Below are 19,556 nucleotides of genomic sequence, written 5' to 3' on the forward strand. Positions count from 1 at the left end.
GTCTTTTTCAGACATACAAATGCTGAGGGAATTCATCACCACCAGGCCTGCCTTGCAAGAGCTCCTGGAGGAAGCACGAAATATAGAAAAGAAAAATTGTTAATAGCTACTACAAAAACACATTGAAATACACAGACCAGTGACACTATGAAGCAACTACATAAAGAAGTCTGAAAACTAACAAGCTAGGATCAGGATGACAAAATCAAATTCACATATAACAACACTAACCTTAAATGTAAGTGGGCTAAATGTCCCAATTAAAAGACACAGAATGGCAAGCTGGTTAAAGACTCAAGACCCATTGGATGTTGTCTTGAAGAAACACATCTCATATGCAAAGACACACATAGGCTCAAAATAAAAGAATGGAGGAAAATGTCCAAGCAAATGGAAAACAGAAAAAAAATTGCAATCCTAGTTTCTTACAAAGCAGATTTTAAACCAACAAAGATCAAAAAATACAAAGATGGGCATTAGATAATGGTAAAGGATTCAATGCAACAAGAAAAGCTAACTATCCTAAATACACATGTGCCCAATACAGGAGCACCGAGATTCATAAACCAAGTTCTTAGATACCTACAAAAAGAGTTAGACTTCCACACAATAATAGTGGGAGGCTTTAACACCCCACTGAAAATTTTAGACAGGTCATAGAGACAGAAAATTTAAAAAGATATTCAGGACCTGAACTTAGCTCTGAATCAAGGGAACCTGATAGACATCTACAAAACTTTCCACCAAAAAAAACCAGAATGTACATTTTTTTTTATCGCCACATGGCACTTACTCTAAAATTGATCACATAATTGGAAGTAAAACACTCCTAAGAAAATGTAAATTAAAAACCCAAAATCATAGCAAAATATCTCTCAGACCACAGCACAATCATCAAATGAGAACTCAAAGTAAAGAAACTCACTCAAAACCACACAACTACATGGATATTGAAAAATATGCTTCTGAATGACTCCTGAGTTCATAATAAAATTAAGGCAGAAATCAAGAAGTTCTTTGAAATTAATGGGAACAAAGAGACAGCATACCAGAATCTCTGGGACACAGCTAAAGCAGTGTTAAAATATATATAAAGCACTAAATGCCCACATCAAAAAGCTAGAAATATGTCAAATCAACAACCTAACATCACATATAAAAGAACTAGACAGCCAAGAGCAAACAAACCCAAAGCTAGCAGAAGACAAGAAATAACCAAGATCAGAATAGAACTTACAAAGATAGAATCATAAGAATACTTTCAAAAAATCAAAGAATGCAAGAGCTGTTTTTTTTTTGAAAAAATTAATAAAATAAACCACTAACTAGGCTAATAAGAAAACAGAGAAGAATCAAATAGGCACAATCAGAAATGATAAGGGGGATATTACCACTGACCCCAGAGAAATAAAAACAACCATCACATGAACTAGAAAATCCTGATGAAATGGATAAATTTCTGGACATACACACCCTCCCAAGACTGAACCAGGAAGAAATTCAGGCTCTGAATAGACCAGTAATGTGTTCTAAAATTGAGGCAGTAATAAATAGCCTACCAATGAAAAAGAGCTCACGACCAGGCAGATTCACCAATGAATTGTACCAGAGGTACAAAGAAGAGTTTGTGCCATTTCTACTGAAACCATTCCAAAGAATTAAAAAGAAGAGACTCCTCCCCAATTAATTTTATGAAGCCAGCATCATCCTGATATCAAAACCTGGCAGAGATACAACAAAAAAGAAAACTTCCGGCCATTATTTCTGATAAACATCAATATAAAAATCCTAAGTAAAATACTGGCAAACCAAATCCAGCAGCATATCAAAAAGCTTATCCACAACGATCAAGTTTCATCCCTGGGATGCGAGGTTGGTTCACCATACACAAATCGATAAATAAAATTTATCACATTTACAGAACTAAAGACAAAAACCACACGATTATCTCAATAGATGCAGAAATGGCCGTTGATAAAATTAAACATCCTTCGTGTTAAAATCTCTCAACAAATTAGGTATTCAAGAAACTTACCTCAAAATAATAAGAGCAATATATGACAAACCCACAGCCAGTATCATTCTAAATGGGCAAAAGCTGGAAGCATTCCCCTTGAAAACCAGCAAAAAGCAAGGATGCCTTGTATCATCACTCCTATTCAACATAGTATTGGAAGTTCTGACCAGGTGAATCAGGCAAGATTAAGAAATAAATGGTATTCAGATAGGAAGAGAGGAAGTCAAATTATCTTTGTTTGCAGGTGCAACAACCTTGTGTCTAGAAAACCCCACATTCTCAACCCAAAAGCTTCTTAAGCTGATAAACAACTTCAGCAAAGTCTCAGTATACAAAATTGATGTGCAAAAATTGCTAACATTCCTACACACAAACAACAGGCAAGCAGAGAGCCAAATCATAAAAGAACTCCCATTCACAATTGCTACTAAGAGAATAAAATACCTAGGAATACAGCTAACAAAGGAAGCAAAGAACCTCTTCAAAGAAAACTACAGACCACTGCTCAAGGCAATCAAAGAGGACACAAATAAATACAAAAAAAATCTATGCTCTTAGATAGAAAGAATCAATATTGTGAAAATGGCCATAGTGCCCAAAGTAATTTATAGATTCAATGCTTTCTCCATTAAACCACCATTGACATTCTTCACAGAATTAGAAAAAATTATTCTAATATTCATATGTAACCAAAAATATGCCCAAATAGCCAAGACAATCTTAAGCAAAAAGAACAAAGCTGGAAACATCATGCTACCAGACTTCAAACTATACTACAAGTCTACATAACCAAAATAGCATAGGACAGGTACAAAAACAGACACATAGACCAATGGAACAAAATAGGGAACTCAGAAATAAGACCACACACCTACAATTATATGATCTTTGACAAACCCAACAGAAACAATGAATGAGGAAAGTATTTTCTATTTAATAAATTGTGCTGGAAAAACTGGTTAGCCATATGCAGAAAATTGAAACTGGACTCCTTTCTTACACCGTATACAATAATTAACTTAAGATGGAGTAAAGACTTAAATGTATAATGCCAAATTTAAAAAAAACCCTAGAAGAAAATCTAGGCAATATTTTTCAGGACATAGGCATGGGCAAAGATTTCATAATGAAAATGCCAAATGCAATTACAACAAAAGCTGAAATTGACAAATGGGATCTAATTGAACTAATGAGCTGCTTCATGGCAAAACAAACAAAAAACCTATCATCAGAGTGAACAGGCAACCTACATAATGGGAGAAAATTGTAGCAATCTATTTGTCTGACAAAGGTCTAATATCCAGAGTCTACAAGGAACTTAATATACAAAACAAAACCAAATCTATTAAAAAGTGGGCAAGGGACATGAACGAACACTTCTCAAAAAAAGACATTGATGTTGTTAACAAACATATAAAAAAAAGCTCAATATCACTGATCATTACATATATGTAAATCAAAATCACAATGAGATACTATCTCATGCCAGTCAGAATGGCAATTATTAAAATTTCAAGAAACAACAGATGCAGGTGAGGTTGCAGAGAAAGAGGAACACTTTTATACTCTCAGTGGAAATGTAAATTAGTTCAACCATTGTGGAAGAGAGTGTGGTGATTTTTCAAAGATCTAGAACAAAAAGTACTATTTGACCCAGTATCCCATTATGGGGTATATACCCAAAGGAATATAAATCATTCAATTGTAAAGATACATGCACACACATGTTTATTGCAGCACTATTGATAATAGCAAAGACATGGAATCTACCCAAATTCCCATCAATGATAGACTGCATAAAGAAAATGTAGTATATAAACACCATGGAATACTATGCAGCCATAAAAAGAAAGGAGATGATGTCCTCTGCAGGGACATGGATAAAGCTGGAAACTGTTACCCTCAGCAAACTAACCTAGGAAGAGAAAACCAAACACCGCAAGTTCTAACTTATAAGTGGGAGCTGAATGTTGAGAACACAGGGACACATGGTAGGGGAACAACGCACACTGGAGCCTGTCAGCAGGGTGGTGGGAGAGAGAGCCTCAGAAAGAATAGCAAATAGATGATGGGCTTAATACCTAGGTGATAAGTTGATTGGTGCAGCAAACTACCATGGCACATGTTTACTTATGTAACAAAGCTACCCATCCAGCACATGTACCCCAGAACTTAAAATATAAGTTGAAGAAAAAATGAAATCATTATATAACAAAACCTTTGGGTTTTTTTGCACTACAGTAAAAGTAGTGCTAAAAGGAAATTACATAGTCTTGAACGCCTACATCAAACACATTGAGAAAAACCAAATTAACAACTTAACATGACACCTCAAGGAACTGAATCAACAAAGACAATCAAGCCCAAAGCTAGAAGAGGAAAATAATAATAAAGATAAGAGCAGGACTAAATAATATTGAGTCCAACAAAGTGATACAAAACATAAATGAAGACAAATAAGAAAGAGGTGGAGTAAGATAGCAGAATTGAAAGCCCCACCGATCATCCCCTCCACAAGGACACCAAGTTAACAACCTACACAGAAAAAAACAAACAAACAAAAAACACCTTTATAATAAACAAAAGTCAGGTGAGTACTCATAGTACCTAGATTTAACTTTGTTTTCCTGAAAGGGGCACTGAAGCATATTAAAAGAAAAACTTTAGACAAATTCAGTTTAATTGATTTAATTGAGCAAGAAAGAAATGAATTTGCAAATCAGCCAGCCTCCAGAATCACAGCAGATTCAGAAAGACTCCAGGGATGCTTCATGAAGAGAGCAAATTTATAGACAGAAAAAGAAAAATGACATACAGAAAATGGAGGTAAGTTTCAGAAACAGCTGGATTGGTTACAGTTTGGTGTTTGCCTTATTTGAACACAGTTTGAACAGTCAGTGACCTATGCGTGGTTGAAATATGGCTACTAGGATTGGCTGAGACTCAGCTATTGCCACAAAAGCATACTCCTAAGTTAAGTTACGGTTTGTCCAAAAGGACTCAAGTATGGATGTCTCAGGCCGTATTTAGTTCAATTTAACAATATCCCATTTGGTCAACCTCTCAATTTACAGAGATTGAACAAAAGTTTAGTCATTGATGCCACTCTCTGTCACCATCCTAAAATAGTTGGTCTCAGAATGGAATTCACAAGTCTTCTTTAGCTGCAGTATGTAGTTTACAAGTCTTGTTTTGTGTCATTATGGAATCACAAATCACAGCTTTGTACCAACTGAATGATTCTTTGTATTCTTGCTGACCTAAAGAAATGGGTAGAATGGAGTGAGACCATTCAATTCACAATGGATGGCTGCATGCAAAACATTTAAGACTTGAAAGAATACAGTGCATCAGGAGGACTATTATGATTATCAAGAGGAGAATATGAAAACGCCAAGGTGTATTCCATAACAAGAGTTATGAAAATTAACTGAACCAAATTAAACAAGATAAGATTCAGATAATATAGGCAACTCAACAATACTAGGGTCTAATTGGTCATAGTCCTTGTTTGGAATGTGATAGTGATTAAGGACCATAGTTCACTGTAAAGTGACCTGATTTAAAGAAGTACTCATCTTCATCGTTACTCTGGTAACACAAATCATAATAACCTGGAAACCTACTAAAAGAAATATAATGATTAGAAACACTTGAAAAACCCAAGCTTACCATCCACCACTCAAGATGCCTGCCAACCAACTGTTAGTTGCTCCTGTAAATATATCATGTGTTCCTTTCTCCTGAGCAATTTCTTTAATGTGTTTGGTGGCAGTGTCTAAGAAAACAGCAGTATTAACCACCTTTTTGATTAAGCTTTTTGTAGTAGTAAAATCAGAAGAGAGATAAGTACAACATTTAGTTTTGTTCAACACCAAACATGAGCCCCCAGCTTGGGCTAAAAGAAAATCTAAAGCTGCATGATATTCTATTATGTGTTTTTGTTGAATATATGTGTTATCGTCTACATTTTGGGGAGTAGTTTCTACCAGCCTGAAACCCTGGGAGGTCTGACTTGCTACAAAATCCAAAATTTTTCCCAATTTATAAATTAGCTGTAAATTCCATACAGCTGGCACCCCACTACCACCAAAAATGAGCTCCAAAGGAACCCATTGAGGAAATATTTCCTCAGTGAAAACAAGTTTATCCTCATCTATTTCAAGGCTAGTGATAATTTCAGTTATTGATCATTTTGACTTCCAACTATAAGGGCTATTATGGGAATAATCAGGGGAAGCTATTCGAAAGGCAGGAGTGATCCAGGCCAAATAACAAGATCCAAACCAAAGAAAAGGCAGAATAAATAAACAGATTCTCCACAGACTCAATATAGGCCCTCAGGGGTTGAAAAAGAGGGCCACCTAGTTACATTTGAGCAAGAGTCAGTCAGGTTTGTTCATCCATAAATCTGTAGCTCCTGAACAAGATCAAGTAGGAAATTTACTTTTTTGTGGCCCCTTTATAGCATGTTGTAAGGGTGTATAACAACATCTATTAAAAAAAAAAGACCAATGGATCTAATCTGGTGACAATATACAAGCAATTACTTGTACCAACATAGGTAATACTCAAATCTTGAGTGTGTTATGCCTGAAAGCACAATATATCTTTTGCAGGCATCACTTAAATTGATATTTTATATTTGGTAATAATTGAGTTATCAATTGCAAAAGAGTGTTGTTCTTAGTGAGTATAGGAAAGCAAGTAGCAGTGATGTTTAGAATATCAAGAATAGCTTCCTATTCTTTCCTTGGAGTTTAGGGTGACTTTTACTGGGAACACAGAGAGGCATTTGCATCAGTGGAATTGTTTCCTGATTTTTTGATATTAAGCCATAAACTCAACAATTACTCTGGTTTTGTGCTACAGCATAAGCTTAGCCTAAAAGCATCCACTGATTATGGTCCCATGGATTTTCCTGTAGGGAAAATGAAAGAATTGGGGTGATAAAAAATGAGAAAAAAATAAAGCTTTTATGATGATAGAGAAATCTTGATCTATGATCTTGGGAAAGCGGTCCACCACTAAGATGCCATCTCCTTCTGGGGAGAGATTTCCCTGGTCATCTTTACCTTAAAGTATCTAACAGGTGTACAGATTCAGGAGTCTGAAGGGGCCCTGCTGAGTTGTGAAATGTGGATCCCAGGTTCAAGGAGCTAAGAAATGCTGTGTTTGGTTGGAATTTAATAGATTTTTCACAACATTTGGAGCTTGCAAATTAAGTTCATTTTCTAAGATCTGATCTGATGAAGGTTCTACCAGCTTGGCTGCTGCTGCTACTGCTTTTAAACAATTTATATGCCTTAGCTACTGAGCCTAATTTCATGGTGTAGTATGCACTGGGCCTATGATTACTACCATGATCTTGGGTAAGGACTCCTTATGCCTAATTGTTACATTCATGAACCAACAAAGTAAAAGGTTTTGTGTAATTTGGAAGTCGTAAAGCTGGGGGCTGTTGTAACGTCAATTTTATTTGGATAAAAGCCTGATCATGACTATCTTCCCTAGGTAAAGTCTCTGGTACAACATTTTTAGTGAGCTCATACAATGATGAAGCCATTAAGCAAAAAATTTGGAACCAAGGATTTGCAATATCCTGCAAGACCAAAGAAGCCTCTTAAATGTCTTCTGGTTGCAGGCCAAGGAAAACTTTGAACAGCTTTTATTCTCTTATTTGAGAGGGAAACTCCTTCAGTAGTCAAGTCACGTTTTGAATACTGGACTTTTTCTCTTGAAAACTGAAGTTTTTCCAGTGAAGCCTTGTGACTTTTATATGCAAGTTGCTGTGAAAAGTAAACTGAGTCAATTTCGGAGTGCTCTTTAGTGGGAGAACATAACAATAGCTCATCTACATACTAAACGATAGTAGAATTTTGAGAAAACTGTAGTGTGATTAAGTCCTGATTCAATGCCTGGGAAAAATATAAAATGGCTTCAGTAAACCCCTGTGCCATCACAGTCCAGGTATGCCACTGATATTTCCAAGTAAAGGTAAACAACTATTTATTCTCTTTATAAACTGGAATGCTAAAGGAGACTAAGTAGAGATATATTACAGTACAAGTATGCTTGAAATTAGTGAGTACATTAAACAATAAAGTATTAGAATTTGGGACTACAGGAAACCTTGGTATTATAATTATATTAATTTTACATAAATCTTGAACAAGTATCTAACCTTGTCTATTTGGTTTTTTAACTGATAGGTTTTTAACTGGTAGGGAGTGCTATAAGGCTATTGTAGAAAAATTATGAGTCCCTGTTTAATTAAATTATTTTACAATTGGTGAGAGCCTTTGAATTCATTTGGGTGTTAGTGAGTATTGGGGTAATTTATGCAAAGGTTTAGAATAATCTATTTGGACTCTCACAAGTTCCACACTTTTAATTTTTCCTATATCAGTTGAGGAAGAGGCTCATAAACTTTTAGGTATTTTTGAAAGATTAGGGGTATTACAGGCCTGAGTTTCAATCTTATCAATTTCTGCCTGTAAATAGCATAAAAATTTTGGTTCAAGAGTATCAGGAAACCCTAAGATTATTTCTCCCTTTGAGGAAAATTGTACGTGCCCTTTTAGCTTTGAAAGTAAACCTCACCCTAGAAAATTTATTGGAGCAGCATTACATAGAAAAAAAAAAGGATATTTTTCTGAAAAGATCCCCAAAGTTAATTGGATGGTTTCAGTTATGGGAACCTTTTGAACTTGATTTGAAATCCCCACCACAGAAATGACCTTTTTACTCTGAGGGATTTGCTGGCTCATTAAAGTGGAGCTTATGGTAAATAGGGTAGAGCTGGTATCCACCAGGACTGTACATGACTCCACATTTAACCTCCTGTATAACAATCAACTCAAGATGGAACGAACTCAGATCTAAGACCTGAAACCATAAAAATTCTTGAAGATAGCATTAAGAAAAACTCTTCTAGACATTGGCTTAGGCAAAGAATGTATTACTTAGGACCCAAAAGCAAATACAACAAAAATAAAAATAAATAAATGGGGCCTAATTGAACTAAAAAGCTTCTGCACAGCAAAAGAAATATTTAGGAGAGTAAATAGAAAACCCACAGAGCAGAAGAAAACAGTCACAAACTATCCATCTGACAAAGCACTAATATCCAGAATCTACAAAGAACACAAACAAATCAGAAAAAAAAAAAAACGTATAAAAAATTAGGCAATGGACGTGAAAAGACAGTTCACAAAAGAAGATATACAAACAGCCCAAAAACATATTTAAAAAATACTCAACATCACTAATTATCAGGGAAATGCAAATTAAAACCACAATGAGATACCACCTTACTCCTGCAAGAATGGCCATAATTAAAATGTCAAAAAACAATAGATGTTGGCATGGATGTGGTGAAAAGAGAACACTTTTTTACACTGCTGGTTGAAATGCAAACTAGTACAACCACTATGGAAAACAGTATGGAGAGTCCGTAAACAACTAAAAGTAGAACTACCATTCAATCCAGCAATTTATGTACTGGGTAACTATCCAAAGGAAAATAATTTATTATATGAATAAGACATAAGCACATGCATGTTTATAGCAGCACAATGTGCAATGACAGAGATATGGAACCAACCTAAGTGCCCATTAACCATCAAGTGGATAAAGAAAATGTATATATACACCATGGAATACTACTCAGGCATAAAAAAGAAAAAAATAATGGCATTTGCAGCAATCCGGATGGAGTTGGAGATAATTATTCTAAGTGAAGTAATGCAGGAATGGAAAATCGAATATCATATGTTCTCACTGATAAGTGAGAGCTAAGCTATGAAGATGCAAAAGCATAAGAATAATATAATGGATTTTGGGGACTCAGGGGAATGTGTAAGAGAGGAGTGAGGAATACAAAGCTACACACTGGAGACAGTGGACACTGCTTGGGTGATGGGTGCACCAAAATCTCAGAAATAACCACTAAAGAACATATCTGTGTAACCAAAATCCACCTATTCCCCAAAAACTATTGAAGTAAAAATTTAAACAAAAAGAAAAAAAATCTGTGGAAAACTCTTCTGGAGTTTTCATTGGCCTACACAAGGAAATCATGATTAAGACCTCAGAAGCACAAGCACCAAAACCAAAACACAGATAAATGAGATGTAATTAAAATAAAATGCTTCAGCATAGGAAAGGAAATAATCAGTAGAGTGAACAGACAACCTGCATAATGAGAGAAAATATTTGTAAACTATGCATTCAACAGGAGACTAATATCCAGAATTTATAAGGAATTCAAACAACAACCATAGCAACAACAAAACAATTAACTCCAAATAAATGGTTGAAAGACATGAACAGATATCTTTAAAAAGACATAAAAATAGCCAAAAAGCAGCTGAAAAACTGCTCAATATCACTACATCAGAGAAATGCAAATCAAAACCACAATAAGACATTGTCTTAAACCTGTCAAAATTATATTATTAAATAGTCAAAAGGTAGCAGATGTTGGAAAGGATGTGAAGAAAAGGGAATGCGTATATACTGTTGGTGGGAATATAAACTACTACAACTTCTATGGAAAACAGTATGGCGATTTCTCAAAGAACTAAAAATATAACTATCATTCAATTTAGCAATCCCACTATGGGGTATCCACCCCTCAAAAAATGAAATGTTATATCAAAAAGATACCTTGGCTAGAAACAGTGACTTGTGCCTCTAATTCCAGAAATTTGGGAGAGGCTTGGTGATGGAATATTGTCTGAGCCAGGATTTTGAAACCAGCCTTGGCAACTTACACAGTTTGGACATTTGTCTCCTCCCAATCCCATGTTGAAATGTAATTCCCAGTGTTGAAGTTGGGGCCTGGTGGGAGGTGATTGGATTATGGGGATGGATTCCTCAAGAATGTTTTAGCACCATCCCCTTGGTGATAAGTGAGTTCTCAATCAGTTAGTTTACATAAGATTTGGTTGTTTAAAATGTTTTGAAACCTCCCTCTTCTCTCTCATACTTCCACTCTCGCTATGTGATACAACTACTCTCCCTTTACCTTTCACCATGATTGTAAGCTTCCTGAGGCCCTCAACATATGCAACACCAGCATATGTTGGTGCCATGCTTCCTCTGCAGCCTGCAAAATCATGAACCAATTAAACCTCTTTTTTAATATAAATTACTAGTCTCAAGTATTGCTTTATATCAATGAAAACAAACACAGAAAGATAGCAAGATCTCATCTCTACATGCTGGGCATGTTATTTCACTCCTGTAGTCTTAGTTACTTGGGAGTCTGAGGTGGGAAGATTGATTGAGTGCAGTTGTTTGAGGTTAACAATGAGCTATAATCACATGACTGTCCTGCAGCCTGTGTGACAGAGAAAGACCCTGTGAGAGAGAGAGAAAGAGAGAAAGAGAAAGAAGAAAGAAAGAAAGAGAAAGAAAGAAAGAAAGAAAGAAAGAAAGAAAGAAAGAAAGAAAGAAAGAAAGAAAAAGAAATCTGCACTTGTATGTTTATCACAGTACTATTAACAATAGCACAGATATGGAACCAACCTAAATTTCCATCAATGTTTAATTGGATAAAAAAGTGATCAATCTTTGTATCTAACAATCAATCTATCTAAATACACACACACATGCACACACACACACAGAGACATCTATGTATCTATCTATCCAAACACACGAACGAACACACACACACACACACACACACACACACAGGAATACTATTCAGCCACAAAAAATAAAATCATTTATTTTGCAGAAACATGAGTGGAACTGGAGGCCATTATCTTAGGTAAAAAACTTAGAACAAAATGTCAAATATATATTCCTACTTATAAGTAGTAGGTAAATAACACACACATATGGACATAGAATGTGGAATAATAGACATTGGAGACTCAAAAGTGTTCAGGAGTGGAAGAGAGTAAAGAATGACCTTAAAACTTAAAGTATAATAAAAAAAAGAATGAGAAATTTCTTAGTGAGTACAATATACATGATTTGAGTGATGATTACACAAAAAGCCCAGATTGTACCACTATGCAATGAATCCATGTGACAAAACTATACTTGTACTCCTTAAATTTCTACACAAAAAAAAACTTTTTAAAAGCCAATTTGTTTTCAGTCTTTTATTTTTTATTCAAAAGTAGGTCACCATGTAAATAGTCTTGACCTGTCTCATCCTTGACAATTTAAGTCAAATAAAGTCACCCAAGTACCTTACAACATCTGGTACATAAAAAAAGTTACAAATACCAAGTAACTCATGCAATTTATTCAGTCCCATTTCTACCTTAAAAAAGAGCCCTAGCACCCTGATAGTGACTCGTGTGAGAAGTCCACACAATTCAGTAGCAGAATCATCTCCCACTTAACTCTCAGCAATGGGGACACTACCGCTAGTTCTCTACTGGAGCAGTAAAAGTTACCTTGTGCACAAACTTGCTGAAAATGGGAGATCCAACCAACACCCATTCTCTGCCATCATTGCTCTGGAACTCCCAACTGCAGGATATTTTCAGCCAGACATCCTGAATCCAAAAAGAACTAAATGTAACTAATATCTATATTAAAATTTAAATTCTGATAGATTTAAGAGCAGTGGGTCATTTTATGGACTGGGTTTTGGTCCAGTATTGCCACAAATTTATTCATGCTGTATTCACTCCCACTTAAAATGTAATCTTCTTCATGAAGTAGTACATTTGTCTTTTTCTATTATTTAATCCATGGCATTTAGAAGAGTGTCTAAAGTACTCAATAGCTTCTATTTAGCGGGAATGGTAAAATGCAATGATCAGCTAAATAGCTCCAGTTGAGCTGGGCATGACTGTCTACCCCTCTCCAACCTGTATGTTCATAGTTCCTCTATGATCTTCCACCCCATTTCCTGGAAACCTACACTTTACACTTTACCTGGAAGTACTACCATCAGCACTGTGTGCAGGCCCAAACAAGCCTCCACTTTATTTTACTTCTTTCTTGTCCCTTTTCGTTATTTAAATTATAAACAAACCAGTATCTATTAAATAATTTTTTAAACCAGAAAACAGAGGCCATTACCTCATGCAGTTAGTGTGAATATACAGTGAGCCCTACATCCAGAACATTTGAAACTACCAAAAGGTGCATATTGCAAGTTCAAAGCCAAAGCTTTCAAGATTCTATAAATATAAACAGGTAATATAAGCTAATTTACTACCCTGCTCATCTTGTGCTCTCCATTACCCCTAAACAATCCTGGGGATCTACATTGATACTGCTGCAGATTAAATCCAGTCACTTTTTAAGGCTTTGGGGATCACTACCTCTCCGGTTGATCCCCAATTAATTCTGTAGATCCCAATATTCTGAAAACAAAACTGGAGACATTTACAAGCTTGTATTCAAATAAGGCAGGGTAGAATAAAGCAGATGCCCTTGCCAGAACATCTTGCAGATTTTAAGTACAAAAATAACAATGTTATTACATATTATAATTGTACTAGTTCATTCTCACACTGCTATGAAGTAATATCCAAGACTGGGTAATTACATAAAGGAAAGAGGTTTAATTGACTCACAGTTCCACATTGCTACGGAGGCTTCAGAAAACTTACAATCATGGCAGAAGGCAAAAGAGAAGCAGGCACCTCTTCACAGTGTGGCAGGATGGAGTGAATACAAGCAGTAGAAATGCCAGATGCTTACAAAACCATTAGATCATGTGAGACTCACTTATTATCACGAGAACAGCACAGGGGAAACTGCCCCCATGATCCAATTACTTCCACCTGGTTCTGCCCTTGATATGTGCAGATTATGGAGATTACAATTTAATGTGAGATTTTTGGTGGGGACACAGCTAAACCTTATCAGTTATTATTATTTAAAAATAGTTAAAATTTATTAAACCTTGACTATGCTAGGAACACTTTTGAGCACTTAATATAAATTATGTTTTAAATTTTTAATTGTGCCAAAATATCCATACTATAAAATTGATCATTTTAAGCATGTGGATAATTTTAAAGATGTAGGTCAAAAGGTATGAAATTGTAGTTATGTAGGATAAATAAGTCCAGAAATCTAATGTACTGCATAGAAATTATAGTTATATTCTATAATGATTTGCTAAGAGAGTAGATTTTATGTACTCTTACCCCCCCACACACACACAAAAATAACTTTTTGAGATGATGAATTTGTTAATTGGCTTGATAGTAGTAATCATTTTACTATGTATATGTATATCAAAATATCATATTATACACTTTAAATATATACAGTTACAAATAAAAATGGGGAGCGCACAGCAAAATGGTAGACTAGATGCAGTCAGGAAAAATATCTACCACCAAGAGATTGTGAAATTGTGAAGACTGCATGGCAAGCAGATCTTGAGAAGAAAGGCATTGAGAGTGGACAGAGGAAGTAAACAGATACTGGGCTAAAGATGGAGGAAGCTGGAAACTTTGCCAGGACTACAACACACTGGCCCCCAGTGATTCCTGGGAAAGCAATTAGTGGTACAGGTGTGGAGTGATCTACTCTTGGCATGGACTTCTGGTATCCTAGCAACAGAAGTAGCCATAATCTCCACAAACACTTGGGCTGGCAGGGAGGGCTCCTTAGAGATATGGTACTGCAGGACTTCAGCCTGTGAAGAGCAGACAGGGTTTGGTGTAGGAACATCTGCAGTGGAGCACAGTCTGGAAAACCCATTCCCCAAAGCTTGCCATGCTCTCCTAGAAAACTTTAGCCTTAGGGGAACTGTTGGACCTCAACAGAGCAGGGCAGTCTTGCTCATGAAATGGGTCAAGTCAGATATAAGCACCCCTCTACCCGAGGACCTCTCCTGTGGCCCCATTGTGGCCATGCCCACTTGAAATGGAGCCCTGGATGCTCAACTGGCATTCTTCCATAGCCTGCATCAGTTTCTTCACCAGCAGATTGCACCTGACTATAAGAGAGCATCAGCAAAGTGGCCCTTGTCAACATATACAAGCCTACCAACACATATTTCCCACCACAGCCTGCCCCACACCACTTTGCCCACATGCACTCATCCATAGCCACCTCCTTCACCACTTTCCCCTTTTATGGGCACACAGGGAGACCTTTCCTCTCCTTCCACACTGGCATGCATGTGTGCATGCACTGTACTGCACCACTGACGTTGGCATGAGCACAGACCTCCTCAATGCACAAACATTGCCAAACAAATGTTCACAGAGAGGCCAGCGGCCCTTCTCTCTGCCCACCAAGCCCCTCCCTGCTGCCACCACCAGCACAAATGCACGCACAGAGGCTGACGGCCCTGAGCTCACCAGCTCTCCATCCGCATGCCAATGCCACCACTGGTGTAAACACAACATGGAGATTGCCAGCCCTGCCCCACATTCCATGCCACTAAGTTTACTCATATTAATTTGTACATGGAGGCCAGCAGCCCTGCACCCACTGGCGGCCCACCGCAGCTGGTGGGTGTGCATCCTGCCACACTGCTGCCGTAGCTGGCACATACCAACAAGCATAGATTCCATTGCCACTGCCCTGACAAAGAGCACTTTGGCTAGCGCCACCCTTTGGAGTGTTGTGGCTAGCTTTCTGGGAAACCTTGGCTCATCCAGTGCAGCAAGTTGCTAACCTTGAAGGGCCAGAGAACAAACATGGGAGCCCAACACCAGTGCCACAGAGTTAGAGTTCAAAGCCAGAAGTGCTGACCTGTGCCTTGCCCTCTAAAATATTTAAGAAATGAAGCCAGTTGGCTGAACTAACCCTGTACTGCAATTAAACTCCCAAGGGAATCAAAGAAGATAAAAGCAAAAGAACCCATCCAAAGTACAGCATCTTCAAGATTGACTGAACATCAGCTCATACAGGTGAGAAAAAAATAGTGCAAGAACTCTGGCAACAAAAAAAGCCAAAGTGTCTTCTTACCTCCAAGCAACCACACTAATTCCCCAGCAAAAGTTTTTAACAAGGTTGAGATGGCTGAAAAGACAGAAATAGAATTCAGAATATAGATAGGAACAAAGATCATTGAGATTCAGGAAAAGGTCAAAATCTAATCAAAGAATTCTAGGGAATATAATAAAAATATACAGAAGATGAAAGATGAAATGATCATTTTAGAAATAACCAAACTGATCTGATAAAGCTAAAGAACTTACTTCAAGAATTTCAGAATACAATCACAGGTATTAACAGCAGAATCCACCAAGCTTAGGAAAAAAAATCAGAGTTTCGAAGACCAGTTCTCCAAAATAACGCTGTCAGAAAAAAAATAAGAATAAAAAATTAAAGAAGAATGAGCAAAACCTCTGAGAAATATTAAATTATGTAGAGATACCAAATCTATATCACATTGGGATTCCTGAAGGAGAGAGAGAGAAAGCAAGCAACTTGGAAAACATTTGAGACTATTATACATGAAAATTTATTCAACCTTGCTAAAGAAGCCAACAATTTAAAAATCCAGAAAATGCAGAAAACTCCTCCAAGATACTACATAAGGTGACCATTCCCAAGGAACATAGCTATTAGATTCTCCAAAATTGAAATAAAAGAAAAAAATTGTTAAAGGAAGCTATAGAGAAGGGAAAGATCAGCTACAAAGGGACCCCACCAGGCTAACAGGGAATCTTTTAACAGAAACCCTCCAAGCCAGAAGAGATTGAGGGATTGTATTCAGTATTCTTAAAAAAAACAAATTCCAACCAAATAATTAATATCCATCTAAACTAAGCTTTCTTACTAAAGAAGAAAAAAAAGATCCTTTTCAGCAAGCAAATGCTAAGAGATTTTGCTACCACCAGACCTGCATTACAAGAGGTCCTGAAGAAAATGCTAAATCTGGAAAGAAAAGATTATTCCCAGCCATCTCAAAACACAATTAAATACATAGACAATTAACACTACAAAGCAACCATAAAAACAAGTCTGCATAATGGGCAGCTAACAAGATGAGGACAGGTTGAAATCCCTCTATATCAATATTAACCTTGAGTGTAAATGGGCTAAGCACCTCAATTAAAAGGCATGGAGTTGCAAGTTGGATAACGAAGCAAGACCCAGAGGTATGCTGTCTTCAAGAGACCCATCTTACATGCAGTGACACACATAGACTCAAAGTAATGAGATGGAGAAAAATCTACCAAGTAAACAGAAAACAAACAAACAAAAAAAGGCAGGGATTGCTCTTCTAATTTTAGACAAAACAAACTTTAAATGATCAATGATGAAAAAAACAAAAAGGGGCATTACATGATTGTAAATGGTTTAATTCAACATAAGATCTAAGTATCCTAAATACATATGCACCCAATATTCATAAGAGCACCCAGATTCATAAAGTAAGTTCTTAGAAATCTACAAAAATACTTATATAACCAAATAATAATAGTGAAAGTCTTCAACACACCACAGAGTATTAGTCAGATCATCAAGGCAAAAAGCTAACATAAAGAAATTCAGGACCTGAACCAAATTGACCTAATAGACATCCCCACAATTCATTACCCAAAAACAACAGAATGCACATTCTTCTCATCTGTACATGGCACATATTCTAGAATCTATCACTCAATCAGCCATAAAACAATCCTGAGAAAATTCAAAGAAACCAAAATCAAACCAACCAAATTATCAGATCATAGCACAATAAAAATATAAATTAATGCTTACAAGACTGCTTAAAACCACAGAATTACATACAAATTAAGCAACTTGCTCCTGAATTATTTTGGGGTAAACAATAAAATTAAAGCAGAAATCAAGAAATTCATTGAAGTTAATTAGAACAGAGATAAAATATATCAGAATCTCTGGGACACAGCTAAAGCAGTGTTAAAAAGGAAGTTTATAGGACTAAGCACCTAAATCAAAAGTTAGAAAGATCTCAGATTAACAACCTAATATCATACCTGAAATAACTATAGAAACAAGAGCCAATCAAACCCGTAGATAGCAGAAGACAAAAAATAACCATAATCAGAATTGAACTGAAGAAAATTGAGACAAATAAAACCATAGAAAATATTAATGAATCTAGGATTTGGTTATTTGAAAAAATAAATAAGACAGACCACTAACTATACTAATTTAAAAAGAGAGAAGATTCTAATAACACAATCAGAAATTACAAAGGAGGCAATACCACCAAAGCCCCAAGAATACAAAAAGACCCTCAGATACTACTATAAACACCTCTAGGTTTATTTGCTAGAAAACCTAGAAGAAATTCATAAATTCATGAAAACATGACCTCCTAAGATTCAACCAGGAAGAAATTGAATCCCCAAACAAAGCAATAATGAGTTGCAAAATTAAATTAGTAATAAAAAGCCCACCAACAGACAAAATCCCAGGACCAGACAAATTTCCAGCCCAATTCTACAACGTGTGTAAAGAAGAGCTGCTACCATTCCCACTGCAACTATTCCAAAAAATTAGAAAAATATTGTAATAGTTTCAAAAGGAATTGGACACCTACCTAACGCATTCTATGAGGCCAGCATCATCCTAGTACCAAAACCTGGCAGGGACCCAACAAAAAAAAGACAACCTCATGCCAATATCCTTCATGAAAATAAATGCAAAACACTCAACATATGTAACATGTGCAAATCAATAAACATAATCCATCACATAAACAGGAACAATGATATAAACTACATGATTATCTCAATAGATGCAGAAAAGACAGTCAATAAAATTCAACACCCCTTCATTCTAAAAACGCTCAATAAACTAGGTATTGATGAAACATGTCTCGAAATAGTAAGAGCTATTTATGACAAACCCATAGCCAATATCATACTGAATGGGAAAACTCTGGAAACATTCCCTTTGAATACTGGTACAAGACAAGGATGCCCTCTCTCACCACTCCTATTCAACACAATATTGGAAGCTCCGGCAAGAGCAATCAGGCAAGAGAAAGAAATAAAGGTATTCAAATAGGAAGAGAGGAAGTCAAATTGTCTCTGCTCACAAATGACATAATTGCATATTTAGAAAATCCCATCGTCCCAGCCTAAAAACATCTTAAGCTGATAAGCAACTTCAAAAAAGTCTCAAGATACAAAATCAATGTGCAAAAATCACAAGCATTCCTATACACCAACAACAGACAAGCAGAGAAACAAATCATGAGTGAACTCCCATTCATAATTGCTACAAAGAGAATAAGATACCAAGGAATACAGCTTAAAAAGGTCGTGAAGGACCTCTTCAAGGAAAACTACAAACCACTGCTCAAGGAAATAAGAGAGGACACAAACAAATGGAAAAATATTCCATGTTCATGGATAGGAAGAATCAATATTGTAAAAATGGCAATACTGCCCAAAGTAATTTATAGATTCAATGTTATTCCCATCAAGCTACCAGTGACTTTCTTTGCAGAATTAGAAAAATCTACTTTACATTTCATATGGAACCAAAAAGAGCCCATATAGCCAAGACAGTCCCAAGCAAAGAGAACAAAGCTGGAGACCTCATGCTACTTGACTTCAAACTATGCTACAAGCCTACAGTAACAAAAACAGCATAGTACTGGTAC

At 36.2% G+C, this 19,556-nt stretch overlaps 2 annotated features.

The window, feature by feature from the left end:
- Positions 14,848-15,349: an enhancer, noted in NCBI's record as "H3K4me1 hESC enhancer chrX:83239627-83240128 (GRCh37/hg19 assembly coordinates)". NCBI's record gives its function as "activates a minimal SCP1, AML or CMV promoter by ChIP-STARR-seq in primed H9 embryonic stem cells {active_cell/tissue: H9 hESC(primed)}" and the evidence as "EXISTENCE:reporter gene assay evidence [ECO:0000049][PMID:30033119]".
- Positions 15,350-15,849: an enhancer, noted in NCBI's record as "H3K4me1 hESC enhancer chrX:83240129-83240628 (GRCh37/hg19 assembly coordinates)". NCBI's record gives its function as "activates a minimal SCP1, AML or CMV promoter by ChIP-STARR-seq in primed H9 embryonic stem cells {active_cell/tissue: H9 hESC(primed)}" and the evidence as "EXISTENCE:reporter gene assay evidence [ECO:0000049][PMID:30033119]".

The sequence above is a fragment of the Homo sapiens genome, chromosome X (assembly GCF_000001405.40).
Source record: "Homo sapiens chromosome X, GRCh38.p14 Primary Assembly".
NCBI lineage: Eukaryota > Metazoa > Chordata > Mammalia > Primates > Hominidae > Homo > Homo sapiens.